Here is a 20,377-nt window from a genome sequence, read left to right as displayed (position 1 = left end):
TTTGATGAGACTGTTGTCCTGTCTTCAAACAGGCTATTCTTTATTTACCCTTGGCTATAGGCTGTCTGTGATCACTAACTTAAAAATAATAAACATTCAATGGTAGGCTGTCTTGAGGGAAAAAAGACAAAAATAATTTTAAAATTTACTGAGAAATCAGGCTCACACAACACCTTGTTCATAAACTAAAGGTTATTATTCTAAAGGTTAGTTTAGAATAATTACTTTTCTAGTTATTTGTATCTCTTAAAAACTTAATAAATTACATATATACTTTGTTTTATTATTGAATATTTGCTAAGGATATACCTCACTGATATAATAATTTCATGGGTATGTACAGTGTTCAGCACATTTACCACAGGCAACATAGGAGAGATGCTGGAAAAAATTATGAGGTCAGTGAGACTTATTTTTCGTGTTCTCATATCTTTTTTTTTTTTTCTTTTAAGTGACCTCTCTTGTTGGTGTCCATTACAACCTTAAGGCTCGGAACTTCCTTCTGTGGGATCTCAGGCAATGATTCATGCTTTTCCCTTCCTCTTCAGTTTCTTTCTGTCAACATTTACTTAGGCAGTATCATACGCCTGAGCTCTGCTTTCCATCTCCTGCTACAGTAAATTAACCTGCACTTAGTTATTGGTAGTTGATTGGCTTAGGGTGTTTCCCTTAAAATATTTGCCTTTAATAGGGACTTTGATGTCTTAATTCAAATGGTGAGACTTACTGGCACACCAGGAGGTTGATATTTTAAAACAGGGCAGAGGTAGCTAAGATTTGTGGGACTTAAACTGTAGTAAGTTCATTGCCTGGATATGCACTGGCGCTCTTTTTGTGGTCAGCCTGTTTGATTCTTGTACAAGTTAGGGCCCAGTCCTCTCACCTCTTGTGCCTGCTCACTATAGTTGAGTTCCCAGAAGTACGTCTGCTTTATTCTTGTACAAGAGATGAGGGTTCATGCACAGTCCACGTCTTTGAAATGCCTTCTATGCCTTATTTGAAAGAAGGCCCCCTTTATATTTTTGCCATGCAGCACATTCTCTTGGACCTGTAAGTATTCAATGGGCATACCCCCACGGGAGAGTGAGCTAAGGCTGATTCTGCTTTCTTTAATTTGACTGCATTTTGTGATGCTATGGGCTTGTTCTTGTTTGGGCTTGTTCTTGTTTTTTGTTTTGGAGACAGAGTTTCGCTCTTGTTGCCCAGGCTGGAGTGCAATGGCGCGATCTCGGCTCACCACAACCTCTGCTTCCCAGGTTCAAGCGATTCTCCTTCCTTAGTCTCCCGAGTAGCTGGGATTACAGGCATGTACCACCACGCTAATTTTGTATTTTTTAATAGAGACGGGGTTTCTCCATGTTGGTCAGGCTGGTCTTGAACTCCCGACCTCAGGTGATCTGCCCGCCTCGGCCTCCCAAAGTGCTGAGATTACAGGCATAAGCCACTGTGCCCGGCGATGCTATGTTTTTTTTTTTTAAACATCTAAATTGGACTTTTATTATCCTTGCACTGTGTTGCTATTAAACAATTTTTCAAGATTTAAGAAAATGGATATTAGAAAAACCCTCAAATTTGCTTTAAAAAGATAGTGATTTTTCTTGTTTTTAATATAAAAGTGTCCTCCATTTTCTTGTTTAAGAATAGCTTATTATGAACACCTTATTAGATGAAATTTCCTGGAATAAAATCAAAACTAGAGACTCAGTTACTGTAAGATGCTGAAAACCAGCCTGACTTTAGGCTCTGTGGAGGCAAAAATAACTGGCCTGGGGATGAGTAACAAGGCTGGCCAAGTCAGCCAGTATTTTGATTAGGTTTAACTACTTTCAGAGTACGTGGCTATCTCATTTGAGCCTCCCTCAGAACAGCTCTCTGAAGTGTAGGTATTAGTGCTCTCCAACTTTAGGCAGTAAGAAACTGAGGCTTATAGTGCACCTTTTAAATTTAGAATGGTATGGAGGAGGAGTGCTTCACCATTCAGCCGATTCCCTTCACTGTCCACCCCGCACACACACTCACACACACTCTCTCTCTCCCTCTCTCCCGACCCCCCCACCACCTCCACTGCCCACTTCAGAGAGGTTGGTTGGATATTGAGAGAGATTACCAGTACACTGCAATAATGTTAGGAGCTGTTCCATGAGGGGAAGGAAGATCTCTTGAGAGTTGGGGAAAAGAGAGTCTGCCCACAAATTCACTTCTATGGACAGTTTTTGGTGGTGGCCCCTGGGGAAGAAGACTAGAAATTACCTTGGTACCTTGGTTGATAAGAAATGTCAAATGATTGACATTTGACTGACTGAGGCTCTGCTGTATTGCCACTCTGCAGAGTACAGACTCTTCATAGCCTGCATTTTGCAGTCATCGGCTTATGGAAAAGATGTGAGGAGGGGACTCTTTTTGTAATGGCTAGTGCTACTAACTAGAATTCCTTAGGTACTCTATATACCATAGATACCAGATTGCCTATCTCTAAATCTTACTTCCTAAGGAAAACATAGTAAACCATTTTAGCTCTGTGCTTATCTTCAGTAATCTTGCTGATGCCTCAATTTTTAAGATTACTGAAACACTGAATCTTCTCAGTGCCATGTCCTTTTTTAAAATAGGTAATGTGATTTTTTTCCCCAAAAGGTACAAAGGTTGACCACTGAGTCTCCTTTCCATCTCCATCCCACAAAGCATGTGCTGTCACCAGCTTGTTTATCCTCTTATTTGCATGAGTGTGTATATGTATGCTTGTATGTATATTCATGATATATTATACACATTGTTCTGCCTCTTTGCTTTTTTCACATACTATATTTTGAGTTGTTGTACATATAGCCCTGCCCCTTTTTTAGTTTTTTAAAAATAACTGGTGGTTTCCATGTATGGCTGATTTATAATTCATTTAACCTATCCCCTATTAAAGTACATGAATGATGAATGATCTCTTTGTAGCTTCCAATGTTCTCCTTCTGTATTTATTTAACAAATACTCCTGTGTATTTGACTCCTTTTCTTTGGATATTTGTCATCTTTTCTCTTGAAACCAAGTACTTAAAAGTTGTCTTTTTTTTTTTTGAGATGGAGTCTCACTCTGTCGCCAGGCTTGAGTGCAGTGGTGTGATCTCGGCTCAAGCGATTCTTCTGCCTCAGCCTCCTGAGTAGCTGAGACGACAGGCGCGCGCCACTACGCCCAGCTAAATTTGTATTTTTAGTAGAGATGGGGTTTTACCATGTTGGACAGGATGGTCTTGATTTCTTGACCTCGTGATCCGCCCACGTCGGCCTCCCAAAGTGCTAGGATTACAGGCATGAGCCACCGTGCCTGGCCTAAAAGTTGTCTTCATTCATGCAAAATATGATGGGCCTCCTTCCTGACAGATATGCTTTGGTATGTTGCAGGAGAGGCACAGAACTAAATGGACTGCTGTCGTTTAAGCAGCAGGACATCAGGAAGACGGGTTCCCATTTCTTAGAACAACCACCAAAATAACCGACACCAGCATCTAATCTTGAGGATCCATTTGTAAATTCCAATCAGATTTATTTTCTATTCACAGAAATTGTTCCTTTTTTTCTCTGCAGACAGTTCCTAATGTATATGTGTCTGCCATACAAATGACCATGTGTGGAAAGCCCTCTTCAGCCATGTGGAGAAAATGGGAGGAGGGAGATTCCCAATTTCACTGCTTGAGCTGCAGCTGGGAAAGCAATTCTTGGCTTCTCAAGTTGCAAGTGTGAAATAATTTTCTCAGAGAAAATACTTTTGGTAGTTAACTGTTATAGTGGTAGCACTAGTATTCTATTACTCTACTATACATACATTATGGATTCAATAGGCTTTTTAAACTAGACCAAGTGCTATTTTTCACATTGTTTCTATGACTGAAAACCAACCTGTTGGTTGGTGTTTGTGAATACTGTGCTGGATCTGTGTGGCCAGATTTTGCTTCGTAAAACCAGCGTCATGTAGACTGGGGGTAACCTTTATGTGACTGGGGTCAGAAAAACAAAAATATTGGATTTTTAAATATATAATTTTTGTGCTGCTGTTTGCTGAGACTACAGTGAGACTTATAAATGTATAGGATGAGCTGCTTTCCGTCTGGATAATTGGAGTCCATGAGGAAGGAGCAGAATTGTTAAAAAATCAGGAGTGCAGTGGTGCGATCTCGGCTCACTGCAACCTCCACCTCCCAGGCTCAAGCAATTCTCCTGCCTCAGCCTCCAGAGTAGCTGGGATTACAGGCGCCCACCACCACACCCAACTAAGTTTTGTATTTTTTAAAAGAGATAGGGTTTCACCATGTTAGCCAGGCTGATCCTGAACTCCTGACCTCAAATGATCTACCCACCTCAGCCTCCCAAAGTACTAGGATTACAGGCGTGAGCTACCATGCCCGGCCTCGGACTTTTCTTTCCCAGTAAAGGGGAAGTTTCAGAAAGAGAGAACAACATTTGGCTAAGCAAGGGCATTTCAACAGACTGACTAAAGTGGCTTCATGCCCTCCAAAGACAGAGATAATCAGGAAATTTTGTGGACAAATTGTGGATAAAAATCTGATGAGGTTACTGAAAGAGATTTGGTAGGGTGGTGGGGTTGGGGGCAACTTGAGGCCCAGACAGAAAGGCTGATGCAGGCAATCTCTGTGACTAACACTACTGAGAAAAACTGCACCACTTTGATTTGGTGTGGGGGATCAGGTGGGAGGTGTTTTTCAAAGGGTACATTTCAAAGTAAAACTAGAAATGATGGTAAAAATGAAGAGTATCTCATAACCTATCTAATTTGTGAATAGCTTGTATCTCAAGGTTTTCTCTCACTACTGATATATTGCTTGCTTTTTTTGTCTTTAAAAGTATTTTATTTATTTATTTACTTATTTATTTATTTTGAGACAGGGTCTTGCTCTCTTGCCCAGGCCTGGAGTGCAGTGGCACAATCACAGCTCACTGCAGCCTCAACCTCTCGGGCTCAATCAATCCTCCCATGTCAGTCTCCCGAGTAGCTAGGACTACAGGCACATGCCACTACACCCAGATAATTTTTTGTAGTTTTTGTAGAGATGGGGTCTCACCATATTGTCCAGGCTGGTCTTGAACTCCTGGGCTGAAGTGATCTGCCCGCCTTGGCTTCCCAAAGTGCTGTGATTACAGGTGTGAGCTACCATGCTGGCCTAAAAATATTTTTATGTTATATTTCAAGCATACCCCAAAATAAAGAGAATAGTATAATGAATTCCATGTACCTGTCAACCAGCCTCAACAATTATAGACATTTTGACAATCTTGTTTTTTCTGTCCTTCTACTATTTTTTTTTTCCTGGAGTACTTCAAAGCAAATTCCATATATCAATCATAATATTAATATTTCACCTATAAATATATCAGAGGTATTTCTACATACAAAGATTAAAAATGGAACCACAGCACCATTATCACATCAAATTAATAATTACTTGGTGTCATTTAATACTTAGTCCATGTTCAGTTTCTCTAGTTGTGGACTAAGGGTGGTGGTAGGGAGGGAAGCTGGAAGAAGGGGTTACAAAGGGGCACAAGGTAACTTTTAGGGGTGACTGATGTGTTTATTGTTTTAATTGCAGTGGTTTCACAACTATATCATATATTAAAACTTACCAAATTATAAACTTTAAATATGTGCAGCTCACTGTATGTCAATTATACCTCAATAAAACTTAAAAAAAAAAAAAACTAATGATGTAGCTAGATACAGACAGTATTTTAAAACATTTTTCCCCAGTTATCTCAAAAATATCTTTTTATGGTTGGTTTGTTCAAGTATGGATCTAAATAAGAACCACAGATTGCATTTGATTGCTGTGTCTCTAGGTTTCTGATAATCTGGAGCAAATCCACTCCCACTTGCCTTTGTTTCATGCCATTTATTTGTTAAAGAACCCATATGACTGACTGATCCTGTAGCATTTGCCACATTTCGATTTGGTGATTTGGCTAACTGCAGCCTATGATAGTATGTTCTTGGCTCCTATGTTTCCTATAACCTGGTAGTTAGATCCAAAGGCTTCCTTGGACTCAGGCTCAGTTCTTTTAGCAAGAGTATTTTATAATAGGTAATGCTGCTATGAACCTTTCATGGCATTGAATCAGGGAGGTCTAGTTGCCCTAGTTTCATGCAAAATTGATCAGTAGAGTTAGGTATTGTCAACCTTATCCATCTATTATAACATTTCCTGTCAGTTTTCACCTAATACTTTTAAGAAGCCACTGCCTACATCCCCTATTTTATTAGGAGTAAATTACTCAGATCTGTGTATGTGTTTGAATAATGCTTGACAACTGTACTGAGGTATAATTTTCATAAACCACACATATGTCAAGGGTACAATTCAAGAAAGTCTGACATATATACATATATACACTTTGATATGTATATATGTATGTATTTTTTTAATGATTGCCTGTCTAGCTGCTGTAGAGAACATGGCGTTAGAGAGGCATACTACAGGGATGAACCATGATTCCTTTGGTCAGCTTTTAGAAGGGTAAATCCTGATTCTCTCAGTGGTAGGGATAAAATTTTCCCATGTGGCAGTAGAGAACAGGGAGCCATTAGTTCGGACCTTGTTTTATCACTAGCTTGTCAGGGAGATCATGCTAAAACAAAACAAAATAAAACAAAAGACTTTGAGTGGCTTTTGGGTTTCCCCTTACAGGTTTTATTGTATAGATATTCTAAATACCTGCTTGCAGATATCCACATGCTGTTTGGGGGTTTATTTATCCGAACCCGACCTTGTATCTGGCTCTTCTCCCCACCTGATTTCCTGTTCCATTTCAAAAGCACAAAATCTCAACAAATATTTTAAAAAAAGAAATCTTTTCATTTCTGTACAGACTTTTATCCCCACTTTCCTTTAGGGAGACTCTTAATACTAATGTGGTAATCCCAAGCAGAATGACACACAGGAAGTAGTTTGCATTGTGTAAGTCTCATTGTACATGTGCTGCACTTAATGGAGCTGATCTATGTGCCATTGGATCACATATACAGTATGGCTAAAGACAGAGTATAATGCTTATCTTCAGTAACAGGAAGAGTTAGCAAATGAGATCAGGGGTTCTGTTGCACAGGATAATCCTTTCTTGGCTTAAGAAAAATTCTGGCCTGTGAGTGACATCTTTCTTCCATTGGTTGGAACATTCATGTGTTGGGATTCATAGGGAAGTTGGGTTAGCTGACCAAGGTGCGGACAGAGCTGATTCCCCAGGTTAGTGAGGGAACTGTTATTGAGCAGGGCCTAAGCAGTGGGACAAATTGGGGACAGGATCCTGGGGTGGCTCAAAATGCATGTCATGCTTGTTTAACATCAGCCCTATGAATGGCCTCACCAGGTTGTAGCAAGTAGGCCCCTTTGATCTGGAGGCAGCACAAACTACTAAGCTCTGAAGCTTAATCCTTACCCAGCCAATCTGGTTCTCATCCACTTTTGGCTGCCACTTCTCTGCAGAGAGTCGAGGATAACATTTCTAAGACTGTGCATGTGTGTGTGCGCATGTGTGTGTGTGTGTACACGTGCTCTCCCAGTGTATTCAGAATCCTTGAATTTAATATGACCAGTCTTCTTTTGCCATCTTGCCTCCAGTCAGCTATCCTCCTGGAAAAGGGGTTAGGTTTTAGGTACAGAACTCTTATAGCAAGAATATTAAGTTAATTAATCAAAAAGTCTGATCCCTTCAGGGCCAGCTTGCTTATTAGCTTTGTACCACAGGTGGCATCTCCTTAACACCCATCAGTCATCTTACAGATCTTGATCACCAGGAGATCTGGATGAAACTATATATATAGCTCAGTATAGGATTATCACTGCTACCAAACAAAAAAGTACAAAACATGTTCAGTAGTTTCATCCTGAAAATATCATTAATAGTAGTATACCATAAAGCAGATATTATTATGTGAAAATTCAACCTGAGATTCAAAAGTATGTGTGGGAGTGGCCCGGTGAAGTGGCTCATGCCTGTAATCCCAGTACTTTGGGAGACCTAGGTGGGTGGATCACTTTAGGTCAGGAGTTCGAGACCAGTCTGGCTAACACAGTGAAACCCTGTCTCTACGAAAAATACAAAAATTAGTTGGGCATTGTGGTGCACACCTGTAGTCCCAGCTACTTGGGAGGCTGAGGCAGGAGAATTGCTTGAACCTGCGGGGCAGAGGTTGCAGTGAGCTGAGATAGCGCCACTGCACTCCAGCCTAGATGACACAGCGAGATTCCATCTCAAAAAGAAAAAAGAAAAATGGTGGTGGGCGCCTGTAATCCCAGCTACTCGGGAGGCTGAGGCAGGAGAATCACTTGAACCCAGTGGGTGGAGGTTGCAGTTAGCCAAGATTGCGCCACTTCATTGCAGCCTGGGCGACAGAGCAAGACTCCATCTCAAAAAAAAAAAAAAAAAAAAGAAAGAAAGAAAGGCCGAGCGTGGTGGCTCATGCCTGTAATCCCAGCACTTTGGGAGGCCGAGTCGGGTGGATCATGAGGTCAAGAGATTGAGACCATTCTGGCCAACATGGTGAAACCCAGTCACTACTCAAAATACAAAAATTAGCTGGGCATGGTGGTGTGTGCCTGTAGTCCCAGCTACTCGGGAGGCTGAGGCAGGAGAATCGTTTGAACCCGGGAGGCGGAGGTTGCAGTAAGTGAGATCGCGCCACTGCACTCCAGCCTGGCGACAGAGCAAGACTCTGTCTCAAAAAAAAAAAAAAAAAGCATGCGTGGGAGCCAGGCGTGGTGGCATGTGCCTATAATCCCAGCTACTCGGGGAGCTGAGGCAGGAGGATCACTTGAGCCCAGGAGTTTGAGTCCAGCCTAGGCAGTATAGCGAGATTCTGTCTCTAAAATAATAATAATAATAGCCAGGTGCAGTGGCTCATGCCTGTAATCACAACACTTTGGGAGGGCAAGGTGGGCAGATCACTTCAGTTCAGGAATTTGAGATCAGCCTGGGCAACATGGCAAAACCCCATCTCCACCAAAAATACAAAAAATTAGCTGGGCATGGTGGTGCGCGCCTGTGCTTCCAGCTACTTGGGAGGATCACTTGAGCCCAGGAGGCAAAGGCTGTGGTGAGCTGAGATCATGCCATTGCACTCCAGCCTGGGTGACTGAGTAAGACCCTGTCTCAATTTAAAAAATAAAATAATAATAATAATAATAGAGTGTGGAACTCTGTGTGAGTACACTAAAAATTATCAGGTTTTTACTTTACATGAGTGAATTTTATGGCATGTAAACTACCAATAATTTTTAGTTTTTAAAAAGTATCAAAATATATAATCCTGTATTTAAATGATGCTTAAAGTTTTAGGAAATAGATAAAATTGAGAAGAGAGCTGAGGATGGAGCCTTAAGGAAACCCTAAATTTCAAGGAAGGGAGACCTGAAAACAGAGATGTAATTACAGACACAGGAAGCAAACCAGACAAGAACAGTTGTCTAAAATTCAAGAGAATGTTTGTGCAGTGTTAAGTGTAGAAAAAATGTGGATGGGGACTGAGAAAAGGTTAATGAATTTAGCTATAAGGAAACTGCTAGTGACCTTTGAGAAAACAGTTTCTACAAAAAGGAGGTGTTAAGGAGTGAATTGTGAGGAGGATGAACCTGCACATTACTCTTGCCAGAAGGAGAAAGAATCTAAAAATAGTGTCAAGGATAGTCTAGAGGCAGGGCAAACTTGTCTGTCTGTCTGTGTGTCTCTCTCTCTTTTTAGACAGAAGACACTTGAGAATATTTGTAGCAAGAGGAAGGAAGCAAACAAAAGAGAGCAGAGGATGAAGGTACGGAGGGTATGGAACAAGGCATTTGTGCCACGTCAGGTGTTCTGCCTTTGTCATTTCCCTGCATGGCCACAGGGATAGCCCCTTTCCATGGGCAAACCAGTGTTGTATGCCAGGCCCAGTTCCCTAGATGAACTCTACTCCTTTTTCATTGAAGAAAGCAGATCCTAATGCAAGTGAGCTATTATCATGCTGGCATAACCTTACATCTGCTGTAACCTATGATTAGACACTCATTCTTGAATATCAGCACTTGATTACTGGTGACAAATGAGTGATAGCACACCTCACAAGGGCTCTGGCACACCTAGCATGTCAGGTCTTGTTGACTGTGGCCAAGAGCTGCTGCATAAGTGGACATTCCAGCTCTTGGGTCAGAGAGCTAAGAACACATTTTGTCAGAGCTTCCGAACCCTTCTTAGAGAATTCAGCCTCTCCAGGGGGTCTTTGAACTGCACTATGACTTATAGGTTACCCCTCATCCACCCCCTATTCAGAGACAATGGCACTGATAGGGAAAATGGGAAAATGCAGCAGCCTGTGAGGACACTGCCCATTCAGCAATCTCTTCTCCCACCCACTGTCCCTTAGCAAAGGACTTCTGAACAGTTTCTCTAACCCTACCCTTCTCAGTCTCTGCCCCCCACTCTTTTTTTTTTTTTGAGACGGAGTCTCACTCTGTCGCCCAGGCTGGAGTGCAGTGGCGCAATCTTGGCTCACTGGAAGCTCCGCCTCCCAGGTTCACGCCATTCTCCTGCCTCAGCCTCCCTAGTAGCTGGGACTACAGGTGCCCGCCACTATGCCCAGCTAATTTTTTGTATTTTTTAGTAGAAATGGGGTTTCACCATGTTAGCCAGGATGGTCTCAATCTGCTGACCTCATGATCCTCCCGTCTCGGCCTCCCAAAGTGCTGGGATTACAGGTGTGAGCCACCACGCCCGGCCCCCTTTTTGTTTTTGTTTTGATTTCTAGCTTGATTTTTAAATCTTTTTCTTAACTATATATTGATATTAGATTATGTTTTCCCATACTTCTTGGAAATGCTGGCAGAAAATGAAATTCATTTTTAACATTTATTATTTGTAAATGTGTATTCACTGTGTCTCTTTAAGCAGTCTATGCAGGTTTTGTGGTAGATGTAATTCTAGGTACACTTAGTAAGTTAAAGGGTTAAAATACCCAGCACTGTCGCATATGGCAGTGAGCAGAATCACAGATGTTGATGATACCACGTAATTAGTATTCTTTTATGTAAATGAAGGCTGTCAGCATGTTACCATAGTGTCTACTCTCTGAAGCTGGAATTTATGCCACTTGGTCTCACCAAGACCAAGCAGGATTATTCTACGGTCCTTAGTTAACAACTGAGGAGAAATCAATATGATGAGAGAGCGAGAAGAAATGGAATTCTCTCTAAAGTAGATTTACCCTCTTTTTTTCCCCCTATTTTGTTTTTCTTGATTCCCCTTCAACCCCCAGAAATTTTATTTCTGATGATGTAGTTATATAGTTAAGACCTGCTGAGAAATTTGCTATTTGAGAATAATTGAAATACTCCAATTAAAAGGCATCATATTTTCAAGCTATAGATTTTTTGAAATATTTAGAATCCTAATGTTGTCATCTCTCATATGGAGAGTTTTTTAAAAAATTATATGATAAATCTAGAAGTTTTTCATCAGAACAAAAGATAAATGTTGAAAAGATTTAATTATCTTTTCATTTAATACTTAGTGATATTTATAGAATGCTTTTAAATATTGATTATGGTTCTTAGCTCCAGTTGATTCAGATTTTTAAAATAAAACTACTATGGCAATTAAAAAGGCAAAAGCTGATATTTTGTCAGGTTTACTTTCCTCATATGCAGATCGACCAAGGGTGTGCAGGACATTTATTTAAAGCTGCTGATCTATTTAAAACTTGCTGATGTAGAAGTATTCAGACACATCATGTTCTTTCCCAATTACCTGTAAGTTTATCAGTTTTGGGTACTAGGTGCCTGTCACACTGGATGATGTACATTTTAAGTGGAAATGTTAGAATGATGGCCTTTGAGAATACGAAGGGAAACCTGTACACATCAGAAAAATATAAAATAGAATTCCTCTTTTTGCCAAATGGGTGCTAGGCCCTATTCTGAAATAAAGTGGTCAGAGTATGTGTGAGAGGTGACTTAAACACATCTTCTTTCTTGACCCGAGTATACCTGAGGTGGTATTCTCTTTATTCTCTATTTTGTTTGTTGGTTAAGGTGACTTTTATCTTTTGTGTCACTCTTAGGAGATTTCCATTTCATGATCATACATGTTTTTCCTCTAGAGAAGCTGGTCTGCCTAGCTTAAATCAGTATGGTGAGGTGCAAAGTAGCCCTGTGTTTTTCCTGAATGGATTTACTCTGCCCATATGGCAGGTTAGTGAGTCGCCATGACAAATTTGTAATGGGAAAAGGGCTGTGCAGGAGAGGATGTGCGTGATCAGCAGATTTATAGATCAGAAAATGAAATCAGAAGAAAGAATTTCCAAAGTGCCCTTTTCATTTGACAGCTCTCCATGGAGAGGATGTGGAATGGTTTTTTAGTGTTCTTCTCTTTTGGCTTTTGGTTGTTCCAGCATATTTTTTTTTAGCAGAGGAGTTGATTTTGCGAGGCATCAGTGTTCTGGGTGTGGTGTTGCTATATTCATTTACAGAAATAATTCTCTCTTTGTAGGATTTGAAGCTCTGCTGTATTTCATATGATAAGATCTTGGTAGCAATTAAATTCCTGAAGACACATCAAGGCTAAAATGGGGATTTGCCAGGCATCAGGTTTTGAGTTGTAAGAGGAGGCTATTCAGATGTGATTTAGCTAGTACTGAATCTTTCGAAGGAAAGGACACAAAAAGCAAAGCAGAGCAAGCTAAAGATAGTGTCCTGGTGTGTTTAAGTCTATGCTGTCTTAATATAATACCATAACCACTAGCCACATGTGACTTAAAATTAATTAAAATTAAAAGTGCAGTCCCTTAGTCTCACTAGCACATTTCAAGTGCTCAGTAGTCACGTGTGACTAGTTACTATAGTACTGGACAGCACTGTAATATATTCAGATAGAGAATATTATCAATAATAATGTGTAATAATAATGAATTCTCTATCTGTATATATTCTCTATAGTCTCAATATATCAGTGATATATATGATTGATGATACATAGAGAATATATACAGATAGAAAATATTGATATCCCTCTCATTGATATATAGAGAATATATCATTGCAGAAAGTTCTGTTGGACAGTGTTAGTCTAAGTGGAAGAATTTGAGAAATAAAATTCTTTCTTTGATTTCTATGAAGAGTCTTTTATCCCTATACAATTTACTGGATTAATGTACTAAAGTTTTTTTTGAGACGGAGTCTCGCTCTGTCGCCCAGAGACTGGAGTGCAGTGGTGTGATCTCGGCTCACTGCAAGCTCCGCCTCCCGGGTTCATGCCATTCTCCTGCCTCAGCCTCCCAAGTAGCTGGGACTACAGGCGCCCGCCACCACGCCCGGCTATTTTTTTGTATTTTTAGTAGAGACGGGGTTTCACCGTGTTATCCAGGATGGTCTCGATCTCCTGACCTCGTGATCCGCCCGTCTCGGCCTCCCAAAGTGCTGCGATTGCAGGCGTGAGCACTGCGCCCGGCCTGTACTAAAGTTTTAATGTGCAAAAAAATCATCTGGCCGGGCGCAGTGGCTCATGCCTGTAATCCCAGCACTTTGGGAGGCCGAGGTAGGCGGATCACCTGAGGTCGGGAGTTCAAGACCAGCCTGACCAATATGGAGAAACCCCGTCTCTACTAAAAATACAAAATTAGCCGGGCGTGGTGGCGCATGCCTATAATCCCAGCTATTTGTGAGGCTGAGACAGGAGAATCGCTTGAACTCGGGAGGCGGAGATTGTGGTGAGCCTAGATTGCGCCACTGAACTCTAGCCTGGGCAACAAGAGCGAAACTCCGTCTGAAAAAAAAAAAAGAATCATTGAGATTTTAGAAGCCTCTCCAGGTTCAGATTCATCAGGACTGGAGTAGTAACCAGGAAATCTGTATATATAACAAGTAGCCTGGGGAATTCAGATGTTGGTAGGTAGTTCAGGGACTACATTTTCAAAGAATATTGAATTAGTGAGAGTGAGAAACAGGAATTGTCTGCATCTTGATATTTTTCCCTCCCCTTCATTCCTTCATTACTTTCTTTTGTGTCCCAGGAATTAGTTGTAAGCATCAATGTGTACCCAATTTGTACCCTTAGTTGGTACTAAGTAGCAAGAAGAAAATTCATTTATTTACTATTCCATCTTTTAATGTATGTGTGTTTTGATTTGGCTGTGCACTAAGAAAAATCAACAAAAATGGTTATTTCAATACTATTCCAGACTGTGTGAGAGGGTAATTCTGACAGAATACTTTTGACCACTAAGAGTTGAGCACCCACAAGTCTTGGCATTATAAGGGGGTAAAAACAGAAATATACATAATCTCCTCTCTGAAGAAGATTACAGTATTCCCCCCTTATCCTTAGGGGATATGTTTCAAGACCCCCAGTGGATGCCTGAAACCACAGATAGTATCGAACCCTATATATACTATGTTTTTTTCCTGTACATACATACCTATAAAGTTTAGTTTTTAAATGAGGCACAGTAATAATAACATAATACAATAGAACAATTACAACAATATACTGTAATAAAAATTATGTGAATGTGGTCTCTTGGAGTATCTTACTGTACTGCACCACAGGTGACCGAAACCTCAGAAAGTGAAACCATGTATAAAGGGAGGCTACTGTATATCTTGTTAGAAAGTGGGCAAACACATCCAGAAAAATGATGTAAAGGGTGCTTAGCAATGAGAAAATCATGATCTGGCTTGATTGAGAGTAGTCTAGGTCGCTTCCCTTTGTATGATTTGAGGGTTTCTTATATAAAGACATGCCTCTGCCATCTGGAACAGGCAATAAAAAAGGGAAGAATCTCTAATTTGGTCCTGCAGTATATTTATTTATTTGTGGGTTTTGGCACACATAAATAGGACTAGGCCAAAAACGGCATCTGGAAAATTAAAGGGGCTACTCACAGTACATTGGATTTAGAACTTCTCTGGGTTGACCTCATAATCATGAAACTGCATTTGCTCACAGAAATGAAAAGTAGAGAATAAATGGAGGTGAAAGAAATTCACCTTGAAAGAGGAACTACCGGCCGGGCACGGTGGCTCACACCTATAATCCCAGCACTTTGGGAGGCTGAGGCGGGTCACCTGACCTCAGGATCACCTGAGGTCAGGAGTTCAAGACCAGCCTGGCCAACATGGTGAAACCCCATATCTACTAAAAATACAAAAATTAGCTGGGTGTGGTGGCCCTTGCCTGTAATCCCAGCTACTAGGGAGGCTGAGGCAGGAGGATTGCTTGAACCTGGGAGATGGAGGTTGCACTGAGCCAAGATCATGCCAGTGCACTCCAGCCTGGGCAACAGAGTGAGGCTCTGTCTCAAAAAAAAAAAAAAGAGGAACTATCTTTAGGGAATTGAATTATTTATTTATTTTTTATTTATTTTTTATTTTTTGGAGACGAAGTCTCGCTCTTGTCCCCCAGGCTGGAGTGCGATGGCACAATCTTGGCTCACTGCAACTTCCACCTCCAGGTTCAAGCAATTCTTCTGCCTCAGCTTCCCGAATAGCTGGGATTACAGGCGCCTGCCACCACACCTGGCTAATTTTTTTTGTGTTTTTTTTTTTAGTAGAGACGGGGTTTCACCATGTTGGCTAGGCTGGTCTCGAACTCCTGACCTCAGGTGATCCGCCTGCCTCGGTCTCCCAAAATGTTGGGATTACAGGCGTGAGCCACTGCACCCGGCCTATTTTATTATTTTCTTTATTTTTTTATTTTTATTTATTTATTTTTTGAGACGGAGTCTTGCTCTGTCGCCCAGGCTGAAGTGCAGTGGCGCGATCTCGGCTCACTGCAAGCTCCGCCTCCCGGGTTCGCGCCATTCCCCTGCCTCAGCCTCCGGAGCAGCTGGGACTAAAGGCACCCGCCACCGCGCCCGGCTAATTTTTTGTATTTTTTAGTAGAGACAGGGTTTCACCGTGTTAGCCAGGATGGTCTCGATCCTCTGACCTCGTGATCTGCCCTCCTCGGCCTCCCAAAATGCTGGGATTACAGGCGTGAGCCACCGCGCCCGGCCTATTTTCTTTATTTTTTAATTTTTATTTATCTATTTATTTTTTGAGACGGAGTCTCGCTCTGTCACCCAGGCTGGAGTGCCGTGGCGCAATCTCGGCTCACTGCAAGTTCCACCTCCCGGGTTCACGCCATTCTCCTGCCTCAGCCTCCTGAGTAGGTTGGGACCACAGGCGCCCACCACCACGCCTGGCTAATTTTTTGTATTTTTAGTAGAGTTGGGGTTTCACCGCGTTAGGCAGGATGGTCTCGATCTCCTGACCTTGTGATCCTCCCGCCTCGGACTCCCAAAGTGCTAGGATTACAGGTGTGAGCCACCGTACCCGGCCTATTTTATTATTTTCTTTTTGAGACGGAGTCTTGCTCTGTCCTCCAGGCTGGAATGCAATGGCGCGATCTTGGCTCACTGCAACCTCCACCTCCTAGGTTCTAGCGATTCGCCTGCCTCAGCCTCCTGAGTAGCTGGGATTACAGGCGCCTGCCACCACGTCTGGCTAATTTTTTTATTTTTTTAGTAGAGATGGGGTTTCACCATGTTGGTCAGTCTGGTCTCGAGCTCCTGACCTTAGGTGATCCACCTGCCTCGGCCTCCCAAAGTATTGGGATTACAGGCATGAGCCACCGCACCTGGCCTTTTTTTTTTTTTTAATTTTAAAGAGACTAGGCCAGGTGTGGTGGCTCACACCTATAATCCTAACACTTTGGGAGGCCAAGGCAGGAGGATCACTGTGCCCAGAAGTTTAAGACCAGCCTGGGCAACATAGTGAGATCCCCATATCTACAAAAAATAAAATTAGCTGGGCATAGTGGCATGCACCTATGATCTCATCTACTCTAGAGGCTGAGGTGGGAGGATCACTTGAACCCAGGAAGTGGTGGCTGCAGTGAGCCAAGATCACACCACCGCACTCCAGGCTGGGTGACAGAGAGACCCTCTCTCAAAATATATAAATATATAAGTAAATAGATAGATAGATTAGATAGGACAGGTCTATGTTGGCTAGGCTGGTCTTGAACTCCTGACCTCAATCCTTCCACCTCAGCCTCCCGAAGTGTGCAAGCCACGGTGCCCAGCCTAAGGAATTTTAAGTTCTGGTATTGAGGGGAAAACGCCTTTCAAAGTTCCAAAGATATAAAAGTTTTCTTTTAAAATAGTTGTATAGCAGCCTGGCGTGTTGGCTCACACCTATAATCGCAGCACTTTGGGAGGCTGAGGTGGGCGGATCACGAGGTCAAGAGATCGGGACCATCCTGGTCAACATGGTGAAACCCTGTCTCTACTAAAAATACAAAAAAATTAGCTGGGCGTGGTGGCGCACGCCTTTAGTCCCAGCTACTCGGGAGGCTGAGGCAGGAGAATCGCTTGAACCCGGGAGGTGGAGGTTGCAGTGAGCTGAGACCACGCCACTGTACTCCAGCCTGGTGACAGAGCGAGACTCCATCTCAAAAAAAAAAAAAAAAAAAAAGTTGTATAGCTTCTTTCCCTTGGAGAAATTGCCCACAAGGCTTCTCTGATTATTGAATTGAAGAAGCATTATTGGGAGGGGGAAAAAAAAACATGCTTAGGATGTTCTACTGTTTTAAAAAGCATTTTCATATATATCAGCTGGAAGATTCGTTGCTTTTTTTTCTTTTGTTTCGGTAGTTTGGTTAAATATTATACCAGTAGCCACTTCACCTCTTGTCCTAAGTCAGATTTGTCCAGTTCTTTACTTACCTTTCCTTTCAGTAAAGAAGGTAAAAGTTTTCCCACCCTTACTGCAAGATGCAGATGTTCTTTTCAAAAAGACGGATGTTGGCTGGGCGCAGTGGCTCGTGCCTGTATTCCCAGCACTTTAGGAGGCTGAGGCGGGCAGATCATTTAGGTCAGTAGTTCGAGACCAGCCTGGCCAACATGGTTAAATCTCGTCTCTACTAAAAATACAAAAAAATTAGCCGGGTGTGGTGGTGCGCGCACCTGTAATCCCAGCTTCCTGGGAGGCTGAGGCAGGAGAATCGCTTGAACCAGGGAGGCAGAAGTTGCAGTGAGCTGAGACTGCACCACTACACTCCATCCTGGGTGACAGAGGGAGGCTCGACCTCAAAAAAAAAAATACATAAAAAACAAAAAATAAATTAAAAAACACATATACGGCTGTGCACGGTGGCTCATGCCTGTATTCCCAGCACTTTGGAATGCCGAGGTGGGCAGATCACCTGAGGTCAGGAGTTCGAGACCAACCTGGCCAACATGTTGAAACCCCGTCTCTACTAAAAATACAAAAATTAGCCGGGTGTGGTGGCGTGGCGTCAGTAATCCCAGATACTCGGGAGGCTGAAGTGGGAGAATCGCTTGAGCCCGGGAGGTGGAGGTTGCAATGAGCTGATATCCCGCCACTGCACTCCAGCCTGGGCGACAGAGTGACCCCGTCTCAAAACAAAACCACATATACAATGTTCCTTAGTCACGTCTCATAAAAATGATACTTTGTACTGGTGAGGACTTTCTTTCTCTTATTTCTATCTTATATCATGTTATCTCTGCTTTGAAAAACATTGCAATCGACCTAAAATTGACTTTTTATTTGAGTTTCTTCATCTCTCCCACTGGTATGTGAAACACCATAAAGTTTCAAATTTGTGCTAACCCTTCCGTAAGAGTCTTCCTTTTTAAGTAATTTAACTGTCCTGTAACTCTCTGCCTTTATACCAAATGTGCCTTTTTTTAACTTTCAAAGGAACCAATTTGGAGTTGAAAATGAATGAATCTAGAGTTGAAATATCAATTGCAAGCCTTTTACTTTTTTTTTTTTTTTTAAGGAAAATATTTTTCTAAAAGTGTTTTCTTTTTCTTTTTCTTTTTTGGGGACTCTGTCGTGCCAGGTTGAGAAAGTGGCGACTTCTATAAGACATGGATAGATGCAAACATGTAGGGCGGTTACGGCTCGCCCAGGACCACTCCATCCTGAACCCTCAGAAGTGGTGCTGCTTAGAGTGTGCCACCACCGAGTCCGTGTGGGCCTGCCTCAAGTGCTCCCACGTGGCCTGCGGCCGCTATATTGAGGACCACGCCCTGAAACACTTTGAGGAGACGGGACACCCGCTAGCCATGGAAGTCCGGGATCTCTACGTGTTCTGTTACCTGTGCAAGGACTACGTGCTCAATGATAACCCAGAGGGGGACCTGAAGCTGCTAAGAAGCTCCCTCCTGGCGGTCCGGGGCCAGAAACAGGACACGCCGGTGAGACGTGGGCGGACGCTGCGGTCCATGGCTTCGGGTGAGGACGTGGTCCTGCCGCAGCGCGCTCCTCAGGGACAGCCGCAGATGCTCACGGCTCTGTGGTACCGGCGTCAGCGCCTGCTGGCCAGGACGCTGCGGCTGTGGTTCGAGAAGAGCTCCCGGGGCCAGGCGAAGCTGGAGCAGCGGCGGCAGGAGGAGGCCCTGGAGCGCAAGAAGGAGGAGGCGCGGAGGCGGCGGCGCGAGGTGAAACGGCGGCTGCTGGAGGAGCTGGCCAGCACCCCTCCGCGCAAGAGTGCACGGCTGCTCCTGCACACGCCCCGCGACGCGGGCCCGGCTGCCTCGCGCCCCGCCGCCCTCCCTACCTCACGCAGAGTGCCCGCCGCCACACTCAAGCTGCGTCGCCAGCCGGCCATGGCCCCAGGCGTCACGGGCCTGCGCAACCTGGGCAACACCTGCTACATGAACTCCATCCTCCAGGTGCTCAGCCACCTCCAGAAGTTCCGAGAATGTTTCCTCAACCTTGACCCTTCCAAAACGGAACATCTGTTTCCCAAAGCCACCAACGGGAAGACTCAGCTTTCTGGCAAGCCAACCAACAGCTCGGCCACGGAGCTGTCCTTGAGAAATGACAGGGCCGAGGCATGCGAGCGGGAGGGCTTCTGCTGGAACGGCAGGGCCTCCATTAGTCGGAGTCTGGAGCTCATCCAGAACAAGGAGCCGAGTTCAAAGCACATTTCCCTCTGCCGTGAACTGCACACCCTCTTCCGAGTCATGTGGTCCGGGAAGTGGGCCCTAGTGTCGCCCTTCGCCATGCTCCACTCAGTGTGGAGCCTGATCCCTGCCTTCCGCGGCTACGACCAACAGGACGCGCAGGAATTTCTCTGCGAGCTGCTGCACAAGGTGCAGCAGGAACTCGAGTCTGAGGGCACCACACGCCGGATCCTCATCCCCTTCTCCCAGAGGAAGCTCACCAAACAGGTCTTAAAGGTGGTGAATACCATATTTCATGGGCAGCTGCTCAGTCAGGTATGTGTGTGCCTACCATGACAATGAGAGGCTTGTATGTTAGCTTGGGCTTCCTGTGAGTGCCTTCCCCGGGTTATTGGGCTAATAAGAGTAGCCCACATTTGCTGTGATTATGCAATT

General features: G+C 43.3%; 1 protein-coding gene across 3 annotated transcripts in view; it reads left to right on the top strand.

The window, feature by feature from the left end:
• Positions 1 to 20,377, top strand: part of USP49 (ubiquitin specific peptidase 49) — a 105,480-nt gene that overhangs the window by 69,491 nt on the left and 15,612 nt on the right. For all 3 annotated transcript variants that reach the window (NM_001286554.2, NM_001384542.1, NM_018561.5), the window contains exon 4: positions 18,874 to 20,257. In NM_001286554.2, the coding sequence (NP_001273483.1) occupies positions 18,902 to 20,257 (1,356 nt within the window). In that variant the 5' untranslated portion in view covers positions 18,874 to 18,901. The remainder of the gene's footprint in view (positions 1 to 18,873; positions 20,258 to 20,377) is intronic.

Source organism: Homo sapiens, chromosome 6 (genome assembly GCF_000001405.40).
Source record: "Homo sapiens chromosome 6, GRCh38.p14 Primary Assembly".
Classification (NCBI taxonomy): Eukaryota; Metazoa; Chordata; class Mammalia; order Primates; family Hominidae; genus Homo; species Homo sapiens.
This window is presented reverse-complemented; position numbering and strand designations above follow the sequence as displayed.